An 18,421-nucleotide genomic window follows, 5' to 3' on the forward strand; every position below is an offset into this window, starting at 1 on the left:
TCTCACACTGCTATAAACTGCCCAAGACTGGGTAATTTATAAAAGAAAGAGGTTTAATTGACTCACAGTTCCACAGGGCTGGAGAGACATTAGGAAACTTACAATCATAGCACAAGGGGAAGCAAACATGTCCTTCTTCACATGGCAGCAGGAAGGAGAAGTGCCAAGCAAAAGCAGGAAAAGCCCCTTATAAAACCATCAGATCTCGTGAGAACTCACTCACTATCATGAAAACAGTATGGAGGTAATCACCCCCATGATTTAATTACCCCCCACTGTGGGATTATGGGAACTACAAGTCAAGATGAGATTTGGTTGGGGACACAGCCAAACCATATCACACAGTTTGATGTAATATAATACTTTACTCAATTGGATAATTGGAAACAAACTGTAACAGCATAGGGTAGGTCCTGCCAAGCCTCCTGCTGTTGCTTCCTTTACTCAAATGTCAATGGCAATTTAAAAAAAATAGAGACAGAGTCTCACTATGTTGCCCAGGCTAATCTCAAACTCCTGGCCTCAAGCAATCCTCCTGCTGGGGCCTCCCAAAGATCTGGAGTTGCAAGCATGAGCACTATGTCTTTCCAGTGGCAATTTTTGAATAAAAAGATTAACTACTAATTCTGAGGCAGTGGAGATTGAGGAGAATAAGAAAGATGGCCAGCACTGCTTGCTTCTCTGGCTGTCCATTGTATACATTTTGCCTTAAAGGACATTGGGCTCAGTTTACTGATCAGTAGTTTAAAGTGCCCTTCTTTCAACCCCATAGAAAGTGCTGGTTTACACAGCCAGCTGATCAGTATCTGAGAAAGTCTAGCACCCTAAGAAATATTTAAACGACTCACAAGCTCAGACAGGAGACAACCCACTTTTCTGCAAATACACGAGAGCAGTGGACTCAAAAGTGAGGTGCTCAGAAGGAAATATCACTGACCAAGAAGGAATGTTGGTACTACCATGTTTGTATATCTTTTTCATCTCACCCTTTAAAATGTAGAGCTTTGTGTGATAGGTTTATATGTATTTGATATACTAGATGTAGAGTTTTGTGTGATAGGTTTATATGTATTTGATACGCTAGTACTATGTAATACATGTATTAGACTTTATTCATTAATAGACATATATTTGAAAGGCATGCTTGGAAATTGTTTATTAATGTGTGTGCAAAACTAAAAAAGCTTGGAGTCTACCTACCTAGAGGAAGGTCAACATTAATGAAGATGCTGATCACAAAAGCCCACACTTGAATTCCTATGATCCAAAAGATAAACTGAATTGCCTGGGTCATGGTACAGGGAAAGGAGAACCTACCAGAAGCAAGGTACAATTAAACCTCTCCTGCTTTTCTTGTTACCAGTGAGGATGACATCTTGTGAGACTGCCTCAGAAACAAGTGGATTGTCACAAGCCCTAAACAGCCCTCTCATTTCCTGAGCAGCCCCAGGCTGTGGCCCCTGGGATTCAGAGAGACCAGCTCTCCTTCCCAAAGTGATGTGCTTTTGCTGATCAAGAGAGCAAAATGGCAAAAGACAATAGAAAGTCCAACATGCCTGCATGGGTTGCAAGAAAAAAAAAGTTCAACATCATTTGTCCTACAAGAAATCTGCATTAAAACTGTAATGCCCTATTCTTCAACCAGCAATTACATAGATTTAAACGAATCAGTAGTTGGTCAGGGTAGAAAAACAGATATTCCTGGTAGAGTGGAAAATGGCCAAACCTTTCTGCAGGCAATTTGAAAATACCAACCAAGGGTTCAAAAAATAAACAGATCCACCTACTTAGCAATTTCTCCTCCGAGGATTTTTCAAAAGGAAATAATTGAATTTGTGAATAAAGATTTAAATACATAAAAGCTTGTTATTCGGCCAGGCACAGTGGCTCACACCTGTAATCCCAGCACTTTGGGAGGCCGAGGCGGGTGGATCACGAGGTCAGGAGATCAAGAGCATCCTGGCAAACACAGTGAAACCCCATCTCTACTAAAAATACAAAAAAATTAACCAGGGGTGGTGGCAGGCACCTGTAGTCCTAGCTACTCAGGAGGCTGAAGCAGGAGAATCGCACAAACCTGGGAGGCGGAGCTTGCAGTGAGCCGAGTTAGCACCACTGCACTCCAGCCTGGGTGACAGAGTGAGACCCCTTCTCAAAAAAAAAAAAAAAATGCTTGTTATTCAAACACAGTTTTTTTTTTTTTGAGATGGAGTTTCACTCTGTCACCCAGGCTGGAGTGCAGTGGTGCGATCTCAGCTCACTGCAACTTCTACCTCCTGGGTTCAAGCAATTCTCCTGCCTCAACCTCCTGAGTAGCTAGGACTACAGGCGTGAGCCACTATACCTGACTAATTTTTGTATTTTTAGTAGAGATGGGGTTTCACTATGTTGGGCAGGCTGGTCTCGAACTCCTGACCTCAAGCAATCTGCCCGCCTTGGCCTCCCAAAGTGCTGGGATTATAGGCGTGAGTCACCATGCCCGGCCTCAAACACATTTTTTCTATCCATATTTACTGGGTGTCTTTTATCAAGCAGATTCTGTGTTAGATGCTGAAACACAAAAAAAGAACGAAACAGAACAGATCAGACAAAAAAGTATTGGGAAACATACCCATCATTTCTTCCTCCTTCATGAATGTTTTTCAAGGATGATTCTAGAAGGAACTAGAGGAGTAGGTAACAGCAGCATTGATGGAAGATTCTGAGAGGCAGTAAGTCACATCTAAGGAACTCTAGCCAACTGAAAATAAGTTATTTATCTAGTATTAAAAAGCATCTTCAGTGTAATCAATTAAAAATTTCCTAAGAAAAATGGGCTTGCTCATACATTGTTGGTATGAGGATATATTGTTATAAACGTTTGAGAAGGCAATTGACAATAGGTATCAAAATTCTTTTTTTTTTTTTTTGAGACAGAGTCTCACTCTGTAACACAGGCTGGAGCGCAGTGGTGCCATCTCAGCTCACTGCAACCTCTGCCTCTCAGGTTCAAGCAATTCTTATGCCTCAGCTTCCCTAGTACCTGGGATTACAGGCATGCCTGGCTAATTTTTGTATTTCTGGTAGAGATTGGGTTTTGCCATGTTGGCCAGGCTGTTCTCAAACTCCTGACCTCAAGTGATCCACCTGACTCGGCCTCCCAACATGCTGGGATGACTGACATGAGCCACCACACCCAGCCTTATCAAAATTCTTAATGTCACTGCCATAACCTAGCAGTTCCACTTAAAGAGTACACCTATAGGAGTACTTATGCCTGTAATAAAAATTTTGAATAAGGCAATCAAATTAACCACATATGCATAATGGGAATCCCACAGAGGGAGGAGAAAAAAAAGAGGCAAAAATAATATTTGAAGAAACAATTGCCAAAACCTTTCCAAATTTAACGGAAAATATTAATTTACACATCCTAGAAACCCAATAAACTCCAAGTGGGATAAACTCAAAGATATCCACACTGAAACACATTATAGTAAAGTTAGCAAATTATCTCAAGACAATGAGAGAATCTTGAGAACAGCAAGAGAAAAATGACATATAATGTACAAGGGATCCTCAAATAGATTAACAGCTTACTTTTCATCTGAAACTGTAGGGGCCAAAAGTCAGTAGAATGACATATTCAAAGTGCTGAAACAAAGACCATCACACAAGAATTCTACATCCAGCAAAATATCCTTCAAAAATTGAGACATTAAGACATTCAAATAAACAAAGATACACAAAAACTGAAAAAATTCATCTCTAGTAGACCTGCCCTGTAAGAAATACTAAAGGGAATCCTTTAGCTACCTGAAAGAACACTAGACAGTAATTGAATCCAAGAAATAAAGAGCACCAGTAAAGGTAAAAATAAAACTGCAAAGGTAAATATAAATAACATTATAAATGGGTTTCTGTTTGTGTCTGTAACTCTTTTCCTACCTAATTTAAAAGACAAGGGCAGCCAGGCATGGTGGCTCACACCTGTAATCCCAGTACTTTGGGAGGCTAAGGCGGGCAGATCACCTGAGGTCAGGAGTTTGAGACAAGCCTGGCCAACATGGTGAAACCCCGTCTCTACTAAAAATATAAAAATTAGCTGGGCGTGGTGGTGGGCGCCTGTAATCCCAGGTACTCAGGAGGCTGAGGCAGAAAAATTGCTTGAACCTGGGAAGTGGAGGTTGCAATGAGCGGAGATCACACCATTGCACTCCAGCCTGGGCAACAAGAGCAAAACTCCATCTCAAAGAAAAAAAAAAGACAAGGGCATAAAGTAGCACCTGTAAAACTGTGTTCATGCATATATAAATCATAAAGATGTCATTTGTATGGCACTATAATACAAAGAACAAATGAGGATGGGGGAAACAGATATATTGTTACAAAGTTTCTGTATACCATAGAAATGAAGCTAATATTAATCCAAACTAGATTGTTTTAAGATGCTAATTGTAATCCCCAGAGCAATCACTAAAAAAAGAAATAACTAAAACATACATAGTAAAAGGCCGAGAGCAGTGGCTCATGCCTGTAATCCCAGCACTTTGGGAGGCTGAGGTGGGTGGATCACCTCAGGTCAGGAGTTTGAGACCAACCTGGCCAACATGACGAAACCCCATCTCTACTAAAAATACAAAAATTAGCCGGGCATGGTGGCAGGAGCCTGTAATCCCAGCTACTTGGGAGGCTGAGGCAGGAGAAGCACTTGAACCTGGGAGGCAGAAGTTGCCGTGAGTTGAGATCATGCCATTGTACTCTAGCCTGGCAAAAAGAGTGAAACTCTGTCTCAATTTAAAAAAAAAAATATATATATATATATATATATATATTCCCATATATATATGTTCCCATATATATATGTTCCCATATATACATATATTCCCATATATATATATTAGAATATATATATGGGAATATATATATGGGAACATATATATATGGGAATATATATATATGGGAACATATATATATGGGAACATATATATATGGGAACATATATATATGGGAACATATATGGGAACATATATATATGAGAACATATATGGGAACATATATATATGGGAAAATATATATATGGGAACATATATATGAGAACATATATGGGAACATATATACACGGGTACATATATACATGGGAACATATATATATGGGAACATTATCTATATCTATATATCTATATATATATATATAGATATGTGGGAATAAAAATAAAACACCAGAAAATATCTATTCAACACAATGGCAGTAATTAAAGAATAGAGAAACAAACAAAAAAGACGTAAGACATATGAAAAACAAATAGCAGGCCAGGCACAGTGGCTCACACCTGTAATCCCAGCACTTTGGGAGGCCAAGATGGGTGGATCACCTGAAGTTGGGAGTTTGAGACCAGCCTGACCAACATGGAGAAACCCTGTCTCTACTAAAAATACAAAAATTAGCCGGGCGTGGTGGCACATGCCTGTAATCCCAGCTACTAGGGAGGCTGAGGCAGGAGAATCACTTGAACCTGGGAGATGGAAGTTGCGGCGAGCCGAGATTGCATCATTGCACTCCAGGCTGGGCAACAAGAGCAAAACTCTGTCTCAAAAAAAAAAAAAAAAAAAGGAAAGAAAAGAAAAAACAAAGAAAAGAAAAAAGAAAAACAAATAGCAAACTTAGAAAAAAAAGATAACAAACATAGAAAAAATAAATGAAACAGAATAGAAAACCAACAGAGAAAATCAATGAAGCGAGAAATTGCTCTTTGAAAAGATCAACAAAATTAACAAACAGTTGGCTAGACTGACCAAGAAAAAAAGAAAGAAGACCCAAATGAAAAAGGGAATATCACCACCAACCTTACAGAAATAAAAATAATTACAAGGGTCCACAAACAGATCTTGAAAGAAAATGATAATAATTACAGGGGAATACTATGAGCAACTGTATGCCAACAAACTTGATAACTTAGATAAAATGAACAAATTCCTAGAAAGACACAAACTACTGGCTTAAGAAATAGGAAATCTGAATAGGCCTATGGTAAGTAAATAGATTGCCGGGCATGGTGGCTTACGCCTGTAATCCTAGCACTTTGGGAAGCCAAGGCGGGCGGATCACTTGAGGTCAGGAGTTTGAGACCAGCCTGGCCAACATGGTGAAACACTGTCTGTACTAAAAATACAAAAATTAGCTGGAAATCGCTTGAACCCGGGAGGTGGAGGTTGCAGTGAGCCGATATTGTGTCACTGCACTCCAATCTGGGCAACAGAGTGAGACTCCGTCTCACACACACACACAAAAAAGTAAACAGATTGAATCAGCAATTTTAAAACTTTTCACAAAGAAAAGCCTAGGCCCAGATGACTTCACTGGTGAATTCCACCAAAATTCTTCTTTAAAGAAGAATTAATACCAACGATTCACAAACTTCCAAAAACTAGAACAGGAGGAAATGCTTCCCAATTCATTTTGTGAGGCCAGTATTGCCCTAATACCAAAACCAGACAAAGACATTTTAAGGATTATACACCATGATGAAGTGGGATTTATCACAGGAATGCGCGGTTGATTTAACATCCAAAAATCAATCGAAATAGTATGCCATATTAATAGAATAAAGGACTGAAACCACATAATTCTCTCAACACACGTAGAAAAAGCATTTGACAAAATGCAACACCCTTCTGTGATTAAAAAAAATACACAACAAACTAGAAGCAGAAGTGAATTTCTTCACCTGATATGGGGCAGCTATGAAACACCCACAGCTAACACTATACTTAATAGTCAAAGACTGAATGCATTCCTCCTTAGAGTGAAAGGATGTTTGATCTCACTACTTCTGTTTCATATTGTAGTAAAGTTTCCAGTCAGAGCAAGAAAAAGAAATAAAAGGCATCCAAATTCAGGAAGAAAAAGTAAAGCTATCTCTATTTTCCGATGACATGTTCTTGTACATAGAATATCCTTAGAAATCCACACCAAACAAAATAAGACAAAAGCTATTAGAACTAATGACAAGTTTAGCAAGGCTGCAGGATAGTAGGTCAATATACAAAAGTCAATTATATTTTTATATACTAGTGACGTACAATCCAAAATGAAATTAAGAAAACAATTCTAGTTACAATTGCATCAAAAAGAATAAAACACTTCTGGATAAATTTAATAAAAGTGCAAAATTTGTACACTGAAAGCTAACAAGTATTGTTGAAAGGGATTAAAGACCTAATAAATGGAAAGCTATTCCATGTTTGTGGATCACAATACACTATTATTAAGATGATAATACCCTCAAATTGATCTACAGATTCAGTGCAATACCTATCAAAAATTCCAGCTAGACTTTTTGGAGAAATTGGCAAGTTAATTCTAAAATTCAGAAGAAAATGCAAGAGACCTAGAATAGCCAAACCAATCTTGAAAAAGAAAGTTGGAGGATTCACACTTCTCAATATCAAAACTTACTACAAAGCTCTAGTAACCGAGGCTGTGTGGAACTGACATAAAGAGAGACATGTAGACCAACAGAATAGAATTGGAAGTCCAGAAATAAACCTTTACATTTATGGTAAACTGAGCATCAGCAAGGGTGCTGATATGGTTTGTATCTGTGTCCCCACCAAATCTCATGTTGAAATGGAATCCCCAGGGTTGTGGGTGGGGCCTGGTGGGAGATGATTGGATCATGGAAGGAGATTTTTCATGAATGGTTTAGTGCCATTCCCTTGGAGATGAATAAGTTCACGTGAGATCAGATTGTTTAAAAGTGTGGCATTTCCCATTCTCTCTCTTGCTCCTGCTCTCACCATGTGATGTGCCTGCTCCCCCTTCACCTTCCACCATGATTGTAAGGCTCCTGAAGCCCTCACCAGAAGTTGAGCAGATGCTGGTGCCCTGCTTGTACAGCCTGCAGAATTGTGTGCCAATGAAACCTCTTCCTTTTGTAAATTACCTAGTCTCAAGCATTTCTTTATAGCAACTCAAAAAGGGCCTAACACAGGTGCCAAGAGAATTCAATGGGGAAATAACAGTCTTTTTAGAAAATAGGGATGAGACAACTGGTATCCACATGCAAAAGAATGAAGTCAGACCCTTACCTCTCACACCATACAAAAAGATTGACTCAAAATGGATCAAAGACCAAAACATAAGAGCTAAAATTATAAAATTCTTTGAAGGAAACACAAGAGTAAATCTTCATGGCCTTGGACTAGGCAATGCCTTTTAAGATGTAACACCCAAAGCACAAGTGACAAAAGAAAACATGGAAAATTGGACTTCATCAAAATTAAAATATTTGTGCTTCAAAGGAAAGCATCAAGCAAGTTAAAAGACAATCAGAAGGAGGAAATATTTACAAGTCATTTGTCTGATAAGGGAATTGCACCCAGAATACATAAAGAACACTTACAGCTCAAAACACTTAAAAATGGGACAAGGATTTAAATAGACATTTCTCCAAAGATATACAAAAAGCCAATAAGCATATGAAACAATGCTCAACTGTAGTTTTTTTGTTTGTTTATTTTTATTTTATTTATTTATTTTTGAGACGGAGTCTCACTCTGTCGCCCAGGCTGGAGTGCAGTGGCTTGATCTCAGCTCACTGCAACCTCTGCCACCCTGGTTCAAGCAGTTCTCCTGCCTCAGCCTCCCGAGTAGCTGGGATTACAGGCTCCTGCCACCATGCTTGGCTAATTTTTATATTTTTATAGAGATGGGGTTTCACCATGTTGGGCAGTCTTGAACTCCTGACCTCGTGATCCACCCACCTCAGCCTCCCAAAGTTCTGGGATTACAGGCATGAGCCACCATGCCCAGTCAATGCTCAATATTATTAATTCACAGAGATTGCAAATCAAAAACATAATATGATGCCACTTCATACCTGCTAGGATGGCTATAATCAAAAAGACAGATAATAATAAGTGTTGGAGAGGATGTAGAGAAACTGGAATCCTAATAAGTTGCTAATGGGAATGTAAATGGTGCAGCCACATTGGAAAATAGTTTGGCAGTTCCTCAAAATGTTATAGATAGAGTTATGATATGACCTACTATTCTATGCCTAGATATATTACCAAGAGAAATGAAAATATATGTCCACACAAAACCACATACACAAATTTCATGGTACCATTAACAATAGTAACAAAAGGTAGAAACAACCCAAATGTCCATCAAATGGTGAATGGATAAACAAAATATGGTATATCCATATAATGAACTATTATTCAGCAATAAAAAGAATGAAGTACTGTATTTGTTACACCATGGATAAACCTTGAAAACATTATGCTCAGTGAAAGAAGTCAGTCACAAAAGACCATATTTATGTATGTATGTGTGGCTACATGTATTGTATGATGATATTTATGTGAAATATCGAGAAGAAGCAAATCTATAGAGACAGAAAAAATAATGGTGGTTAATTAGGGTTGTGGGGTGGAGAATGGAGATTCATCGCTAATGGGTACAGGATTTCTTTTTTGGTTGATGATGTTGTACAACTCTAAGCATACTAAAAGTACTCTTTTGTACACTTTAACTGGGTGAATGCTACAGTATGTGAATTACATCTCTATAAAGCTGTTTTTTTGTTTGTTTGTTTTTGAGACAGAGTCTGGCTCTGTCGCCCAGGCTGGAGTGCAGTGGCACCACATTGGTTCACTGCAATCTCTGCCTCCTGGGCTCAAGCGATTCTCAAGCCTCAGCCTCCCAAGTAGCTGGGATTACAGGCACCTGCCACTGCGCCCAGTTAATTTTTATATTTTTAGTAGAGACAGGGTTTCACCATATTAGTCAGGCTGGTCTCGACCTCCAGACCTCCTATTTATGTTACTTATATAAATACCTATTTATGTTACATAAACACCTATTTATGTTACTTATATGTTGTTATGTACTATGAGGCAAAAGGAAATTTTTTTCTTTTCTTTTTTTTCTTTGAGATGGAGTCTCACTCTTGTTGCCCAGGCTGGAGTGCTATGGCATGATCTTGGCTCACCACAACCTCTGCCTCGCCCATTCAAGCGATTCTCCTGCCTCAGCCTCCTGAGCAGCTGGGATTATAGGCATGCACCACCACACCCGGCTAATTTGGCATTTTTAGTAGAGACGGAATTTCACCATGTTGGGAAGGCTAGTCTTGAACTCCTGACCTCAAGTGATCCACCCACCTCGGCCTCCCAAAGTGCTGGGATTACAGGTGTGAGCCACCACACCCGGCCTCAGTAAGTTGATTTTTATGACTATGAATGGGTCCCCCAAAACAGGTCTAAATCATAATTAGTCTACTTGCTATGAGAAATTATGTGTTTGGCTTTTTGTTTAAGGAAAAAGCAAAAAAAAAAAATTGGAAAAATTCTCAAAAATGAATGTTCATCAGCATTTTTATGGGAAACAATCTGATGGAACAGGAGGCCAGCCAGGTAAATCATACAATCCAAGCAGAAAGAAATCATGGGAACATGTCTCTGAATGGAGAGAGAAAAGTGGCTCCACAGGGAGCTTGCTTATTGAGATGTAGGACAAATAAAGTGGGTGAAAGAGGTTAAAAAAAAGAAGCACTCTGAGAGGAGATTGAAGTGTAACTTTAATACACAAAAGAAAAGCTGTATTCCACACTTCTGATCACCTCCCCTTTCTTACTCTTCAGGCTTTAAATTCTGACTTTCTAATACCTCATTCGATCATATTGAATTAGCCTGAAGTTTGATTTGGAGGGCTGGTGACCCAGTCTCATTTTGGCCTGATGACATTTTGGGCTTGGGACTATCTCCCTTTTTTAGTACTTAGCTCAACTGCAGAAATAATACCAGCAATAATAATATCATCCCCTTACCATGCAACTCTAATTGAAATGTGAATGGATGTGCTATTGGCCAAGGGCCCCTGTCCACTAATTATGTATCATCTGAAAATCTGACCCAAGTATCTGGCAATCAAAGAGGGATAGCTTTCATCCTGCTGTTACCTGTTCACAGTTATGCCATCTGGCTCTTATACCCAGAAGAAAACTTGGCATCCGTATTCAACCAGAATGACCGTCAATTCTCAAAACATCTTATTTTCTCTTTGCCAAGAACCAAGTGACAACTGATCTCAAAGTGTAAGCACTTAACCTATAAAACAAATGACTTGGGGGAAGAGGCATTTTTCTCAATGAAAAATAGGGTTGAGAGAGTATTTTTGTGTCATCAGACATCTCAAACTATGTTTTAATAGTATAACCTAATTTATATTTCCTTTGTGTTTGTCTCTGATTTTTCAGTTCATTTTAATAAATACTTTTTGAGCACCTGCCATATGAAATGAAATGAGCCAAGCACTAAAAGGATACCAAGTTGTAATAGTCAAGGAAATGGCTCTAGCTCTGTAGGAATAAAACATCAGATTTCAGGCCGGGCACGGTGGCTCATGCCTGTAATCCCAGCACTCTGGGAGGCCGAGGAGGGCAGATCACCTGAGGTCGGGAGTTCGAGATCAGCCTGACCAACATGGAGAAACCCTGTCTCTATTAAAAATACAAAATTAGGCCGGGCACGGTGGCTCACGCCTGTAATCCCAGCACTTTGGGAGGCCGAGGTGGGCAGATCACGAGTTCAGGAGATTGAGACCATCCTGGCTAACACGGTGAAACCCCGTCTCTACTAAAAATACAAAAAAAAAAAAAATTAGCAGGGCATGGTGGCAGGCACCTGTAGTCCCAGCTACTCAGGAGGCTGAGGCAGGAGAATGGCGTGAACCCAGGAGGCGGAGCTTGCAGTGAGCCGAGATAGCGCCACTGCACCCCAGCCTGGGCGACAAAGCAAGACTCCAACTCCAAAAACAAACAAACAAACTCCTAGAAGAAAATATAGGAGAAAAACCTAGATACGCTCAGGTATGGTGATGACTTTTTAAATACAACATCAAAGGCATGATCCATGAAAGAAATAATAAATAAGCTGGACTTCATTCAAATTAAAAACTTCTGCTCTGTGAAAGAATATGTCAAGAGAATGAGAAGGTAAGCCACAGACTAGGACAAAATATCTTCAAAAGATATATTAAGATTATTACCTAAGATACAAAGAATTTTTTTTTTTTGAGACGGAGTCCTGCTCTGTTGCCAAACTGGTATGTAGTGGCACGATCTCGGCTCACTGCAACCTCTGCCTCCTGGGTTCAGGTGATTCTCCTGCCTCAGCCTCCCGAGTAACTGAGATTACAGGCACACGTCACCACGCCTGGATAATTTTTGTATTTTTAGTAGAGATGGGGTTTCGCCATGTTGGCCAGGCTGGTCTTGAACTCTTGATGTCAGGTGATCCACCCACCTCGGCCTCCCAAAGTGCTGGGATTACAGGCATGAGTCACTGCACCGAGACCAAAGAATTCTTAAAACTCAACAATAAGAAAAAAAACAACTTGATTTAAAAATTGGCCAAACACCTTAACAGACGCCTCACCAAACAGGTTGTAGATGGCAAATAAGCATATGACGAAATACTCCACATCATATGTCATCAAGGGAAAGCAAATTCAAACAGACACCACCTCACACCTATTAGAGTGACCAGAATTCAGAACACTGACAACAAATGCTGGTGAGGACATAGAGCAACAGGAGCTGTTGCTGGTGGGAATGCAAAAATGGTGCAACTAGTTTGGAAGACCATTTGGGAGTTTCTTACAAAACTAAACATACTTTTACCACATGATCCAGCAATCATGCTCCTTGGTGTCTACCCAAAGGAGTTAAAAACTTATGTCCAGGGTGGGGAATGGTGGCTCACACCTGTAATCCTGGCACTTTCGGAGGCTGAGGTGGGACAATCACTTGAGCTCAGGAGTTTAAGACTAGTCTGGGCAACATAGTGAGACCTCGTCTCTACAAAAAATTTAAAAATTAGCTAGGCATGGTGGTGCATGCCTGTAGTCTCAGCTACTTGGGAGGCTGAGATGGGAGGATAACTTGACTCCGGGAAGTTGAGGCTGCAGTGAGCCATGACCACACCACTGCACTCCAGCCTGGGTGACAGAGCAAGACCCTGCCTCAAAAAACAAGAAAAGAAGGAGGAAAGGGAAGAGAATGGGAGGGGAGGGGAGGGGAGGGGAGGAGAGAGGGAGGATGGAGGCAGAGAGGAGCTGGGAAAGGAGGCAGAGAGGGAGGGAGAGGGGAGGCAGGGAGGGAAGGGAAGGAAAAGAAAAAAAAAAAAAGAGCTCTCAAGCCATAAAAAGTTATGAAGCGGCCAGGAACAGTGGCTCACGCTTGTAACCTCAACACTTTGGGAGGCCGAGGCGGGTGGATCACTTGAGGCCAGAAATTGGAGACCAGCCTGGGCAACATGGTGAAACTCTATCTCTACTAAAAATACAAAAATTAGCCAGGTTTGGTGGCATATGCTTGTAAACCCAGCTACTCAAGCGGCTGAGGCAAAGAATCGCTGAAAAACAGGAGGCGGAGGTTGCAGTGAGCCGAGATCGCATCACTGCATTGCAGTCTGGGCAGCAAAGTGAGGCTGTCTCAAAAAAAAAGTTACGAAGAAAACTTAAATGCATATTACTAAGCGAAAGAATCCAATCCAAAAAAGGCTGCTTACTGCATGACATTTTGGAAAAGGCAAAACTATGGAGACAGTAAAAATATCGGTGGTTGCTAAGGGTTGGAGCCTGGGGTTAGTGCAGTGAAAATACTCTGCATGATACTGTCATGGTGGATACATTTCACTATACATTTGTGCAAACCCGTAGGATGAATAACACCGAGAGCACTAATATAAACTATGGGCTTTGGGGGATATGATGTGTCAGTATGGCGTCATCAGTTGTAACGAGTGCACCCCTCTGGTGCAGGATGTTGATAATGGTAAAGGTTATGCATCTGTGGGGACAAGTATATGAGGTATCTGTTTACCTTCCTCTCCATGTTGCTGTGAACCTAAAACTGATCTTGAAAAAAAAAATCTTGGCCAGGCGCAGTGGCTCACGCCTGTAATCCTAGCACTTTGGGAGGCCAAGGTGAGCTGATCACCTGAGGTTGGGAGTTCGAGACCAGCCTGACCAACAATGGAGAAACCCTGTCTCAACTAAAAATACAAAATTAGCCAGGTGTGGTGGCACATGCCTGTAATCCCAGCTACTCGGGAGGCTGAGGCAGGAGAATGGCTTGAACCCGGGAGGCAGAGGTTATGGTGAGCCAAAATCGTGCTACTGCACTCCAGCCTGGGCGACAAGAGCGAAACTCTGCCTCAAAAAAAAAAAAAATTTTTTTTTTTTACTTTTACCATGTTAAACTCCTGAGAGCAAGATGGGTCACCAAGAACTGTACTGGAGCCACCCGCGAAAATTTGGCCGCGGTTCTCGCTCTTGTCGCGTCTGCTCAAACCAGCACGGTCTGATCCGGAAATACGGCCTCAATAAGTGCAGCCAGTGTTTCCGTCAGTATGTGAAGGATATCGGTTTCATTAAGTTGAACTAAATGATCTTCCTTCAAAGGATAATCCAAGGCATCTACCCAATGAAAAACCATGATGCTTTTTTGTACATAAAATAAACATTTATTTTTAAAAAATCTTTAATTAAAAAAAAAGAGAAAAGAAACTTCATCAGAGTAGAAAAGAGTTCATAGAAGAGGTGTATCATGGAGGAAGTAGCATTTGAAATGATCCTTGACAGAACTGCCAGACAGCCTTAGTAAGAGCAGCATTCCAGAAGGAGCAATGAGCACTAATAAAGCAATAGTGGTGGAGAGAGAATGTTGAGTAACTAGTTTTCCTCACAAAGTTTTGCATAGGGGAGAGATTAAGCTTTAAACGTGGGTTAGATCCCTGCTGTCTAAGGCCTTCGATGTCAGGGAGAGGTTTTTTTGTTTTGTTTTGTTTTTTGTTTTGTTTTTTTTGACACGGAGTCTTGCTCTGTCGCCCAGGCTGGAGTGCAGTGGTGCGATCTCGGCTCACTGCAAGCTCCGCCTCCTGGGTTCACGCCATTCTCCTGCCTCAGCCTCCTGAGTAGCTGGGACTACACAGGGAAAGAGTTTTAATTCCATTCCTCCATTATCATAATCATCATGCTTTTTCCTTTTTTTGGAGACGGAGTCTCACTCTGTCACCCAGGTTGGAGTGCAGTGGCACGATCTCGGCTCACTGAACCTCCGCCTTTTGGGTTCAAGCAATTCTCCTGCCTCAGCCTCCCGAGTAGCTGGGACTACAGGCGCATGCCACCATACCCAGCTAATTTTTTATTTTTAGTAGAGACAAGGTTTCACCGTGTTGGCCAGGCTGGGCCTGGAGTTCTCGAACTCCTGACCTCAGGTGATTCACCTGCCTCGGCCTCCCAAAGTGCTGGGATTACAGGTGTGAGCCACCATGTCCAGCCAGATCATCATGCATTTTTAACGTAAAGGCCCAAGAACAATTACACCATTAATTGTTGACAAGTAATGGCCCCAGACCAGAAAATACATTCAGTCAGAAAAGACTTCATTTTGCAGAGGGCAACACTAATGACAGCATCAAATTGCATTCATGGGCTATAACAGAGTCCAGAATTTTGCATTTGTTCCCATGTGTCTTAATGTTTATTAAATCCAATCCAAACATTTCCACTACACTCTTGCTCTACTTCTCCCCAGATTGTCTCATGTATTTATCTAGAGATCCCAGCGGTAGCCTTACACACCAACATCACAAACCATCTGTGCCTCCTCTCAGGTATGGAAAGGGAATCCTATCAGGCCTGGGAACTCTAAATACCAAAACCAAACACTGTATATTCCACAAATATGATTTCCTTTTCCTTCAGCAGACAGTGCAGTCACAGTATGAAGGTCAACAGTGGTGTACGATCCATACTAGGAATTTTACAGGCATAAATATTTATTTTTAAAATTTTAGGTGCAAAGTAACAGGAGGAGTACATACAGCAGCATTGGGACACCTTAGGAAGGTAGTAATTAAACTTTTTCTGAAGTTGCTCTGTAATTCTAGCATTCTGGGAATTATGCCTTTCATGTGTATTCCTCCAAATCAGTTGAGGTTCCAAAATATACCCAAGTAGAGTATTTGAGAAATTCTAGTTGCAGGTGGGATCTGACTGCTTTGCATTGTGCTATATACATCAATCTATTAATATTAGTTGTTCCCTTTTTGGAACACAGTAGGAAATAAACAGACAAATTAGCAAATAGCTTACAAGAGAGATGGTGGCTTCATGTCTTCTACAGAAGTCTTACTTGAGGCTCTACAACTTGCCTTTACTTATTCTTATTCTTTTGATTCTATTTAATATAATTCAGTCTTACAAAACTGTTTTTAAGCCATGCATGATATAAACTAGAACTTAGATATCTCGACTTCTTAATATTATATGCTTAATTTTATGTGCTCCATAAAATAATTATAAGGAAGCAATAATTTTCTTTCTTTCTTTTTTTTTTTTTTGAGCTGGAGTCTCACTGTGTCACCAGGCTGGAGTGCAGTGGCACAATCTCAGCTCACTGCAAGCTCCACCTCCCGGGTTCACGCCATTCTCCTGCTTTAGCCTCCTGAGTAGCTGGGACTACAGGCGCCTGCCACCACCCCCGGCTAATTTTTTGTATTTTTAGTAGAGACAGGGTTTCACCATGTTAGCCAGGATGGTCTTGATCTCCTGACCTCGTGATTGAGGCCTCGGCCTCCCAAAGTGCTGGGATTACAGGCGTGAGCCACCGCGCCCAGCAGGAAGCAATAATTTTCATAACAACTGATATTTATTTTTTATAAGTTCACATTCACAACCATTTTCCCACTATCGAATTAGCAAAAATTTAAAAAACATTGTTGGTGAGACTATCATGAGATAAACATTTTCATTCACTGATGCTGTGAATTTAAATCAGAACAAACTTTCTCAAAAACAATTTGGCAAAAATGTATCAAGAATTTAAAACATCTATTCCATTTGTCTCAATTATATACATATGCACAAACAGAGCTAAAAGAAATGCCCCACCCCTTGCCAAGTCAAGGTGTTAATGATAGTTATTTCTTGGTGATGGGATAATAGGTAGTTTTTATTTTGGAATTATATTTAAAAATTTTATAACCAGTGAGAAAGTATTACTCACTGATTATAGCTATTTTAATCACTGAAGAATATTTATACAGGCCGGGCACAGTGGCTCATGCCTGTAATCCCAGCACTTTGGGAAGCCAAGGTGGAGGGATCACTTAAGGTCAGGAGTTCGAGACCAGACTGGCCAACATGGTGAAAACCCGTCTCTACTAAAAATACAAAAATTAGTCAGGCGTGGTAGCGTGGGCCTGTAGTCTCAGCTAACAAGGAGGCCAAGGCAGGAGAATCGCTTGAACCCAGGAGGCGGAGGTTGCAGTGAGCCGAGATCACACCACTGCATTCCAGCCTGGGAGACACAGTGAAGCGCCGTCTCAAAAAAAAAATACAAAAAAAAAAGAATATTTATGGAGAATTTTAATAAAACAAAATATTCACAATATGTAGTAAAAAACACTATATTTTATAAAGAATATAATAGCAACTAATTTTGTATGTATATAACTGTGTATATGTATAAATATATGATCATTCACCTAATAAATACATCTGCTTAGCAAGGCCTAAAATGAGGAACAAGCAAATCAAATCTAAAACCAAGTTAGCATTTTTGGAATATGTATTATGTGTTATTTTTAATTTCTGGTTTTATTTAGTTTTTCATTTTTTTAACACTGAGCTTGTATTGCTTTAATATTTAAAAAAATACTATTACACAATCAATTAGAAAAAAATCTCTGCCGAGCATGATTATATCATACATGTGTTCACTGCACTGTTGCAGATCCCTCACTGCACTGTTACAGATCCCATCAAGTTGTCAGCTTCCTCATTATAAAGTAAGGGGATTTGGCCAGGTGCAGTGGCTCACGCCTGTAATCCCAGACTTTGGGAGGCTGAGGTGGATCGCCTGAGGTCAGGAGTTTGAGACCAGCCTGGCCAACATAGTGAACACCACCCCCGCCCCACAGCCTGTCTCTACTAAAAATACAAAAGTTAGTGTAGTGGCAGGTGCCTGTCTCTACTAAAATTAGTGTAGTAGCAGGTGCCCCATCTCTACTAAAAATTCAAAAATTAGTGTAGTGGCAGGTGCCTGCAATCCCAGCTACTCAGAAGGCTGAGGAGAATTGCTTGAACCCTGGAGGCGGAGGTTGCAGTGAGCTGAGATCGCACCATTGCACCAGCCTGGGTGACAAGAATGAAACTTTGTCTAGTCCCAGCTACTCAGAAGGCTGAGGCATGAGAATTGCTTGAACCCAGGAGGTGGAGGTTGCAGTGAGCCGAGATCGCATCACTGGACTCCAGCCTGGGCGACAGAGTGAGACTCTGTCTCAAAAATAAATAAATAAATAAAAATAATATTATATAATATAATAAGGGGATTATATTTGGTGTTCTCTAAGACACCTTCCA

The 18,421-nt window shown here is 40.5% G+C and overlaps 1 pseudogene; it reads left to right on the forward strand.

Moving 5' to 3' along the window:
- On the forward strand, positions 14,238 to 14,536 carry RPS29P9 (ribosomal protein S29 pseudogene 9; annotated as a pseudogene).

This window comes from Homo sapiens, chromosome 2, assembly GCF_000001405.40.
Source record: "Homo sapiens chromosome 2, GRCh38.p14 Primary Assembly".
In the NCBI taxonomy this organism is placed as follows: domain Eukaryota; kingdom Metazoa; phylum Chordata; class Mammalia; order Primates; family Hominidae; genus Homo; species Homo sapiens.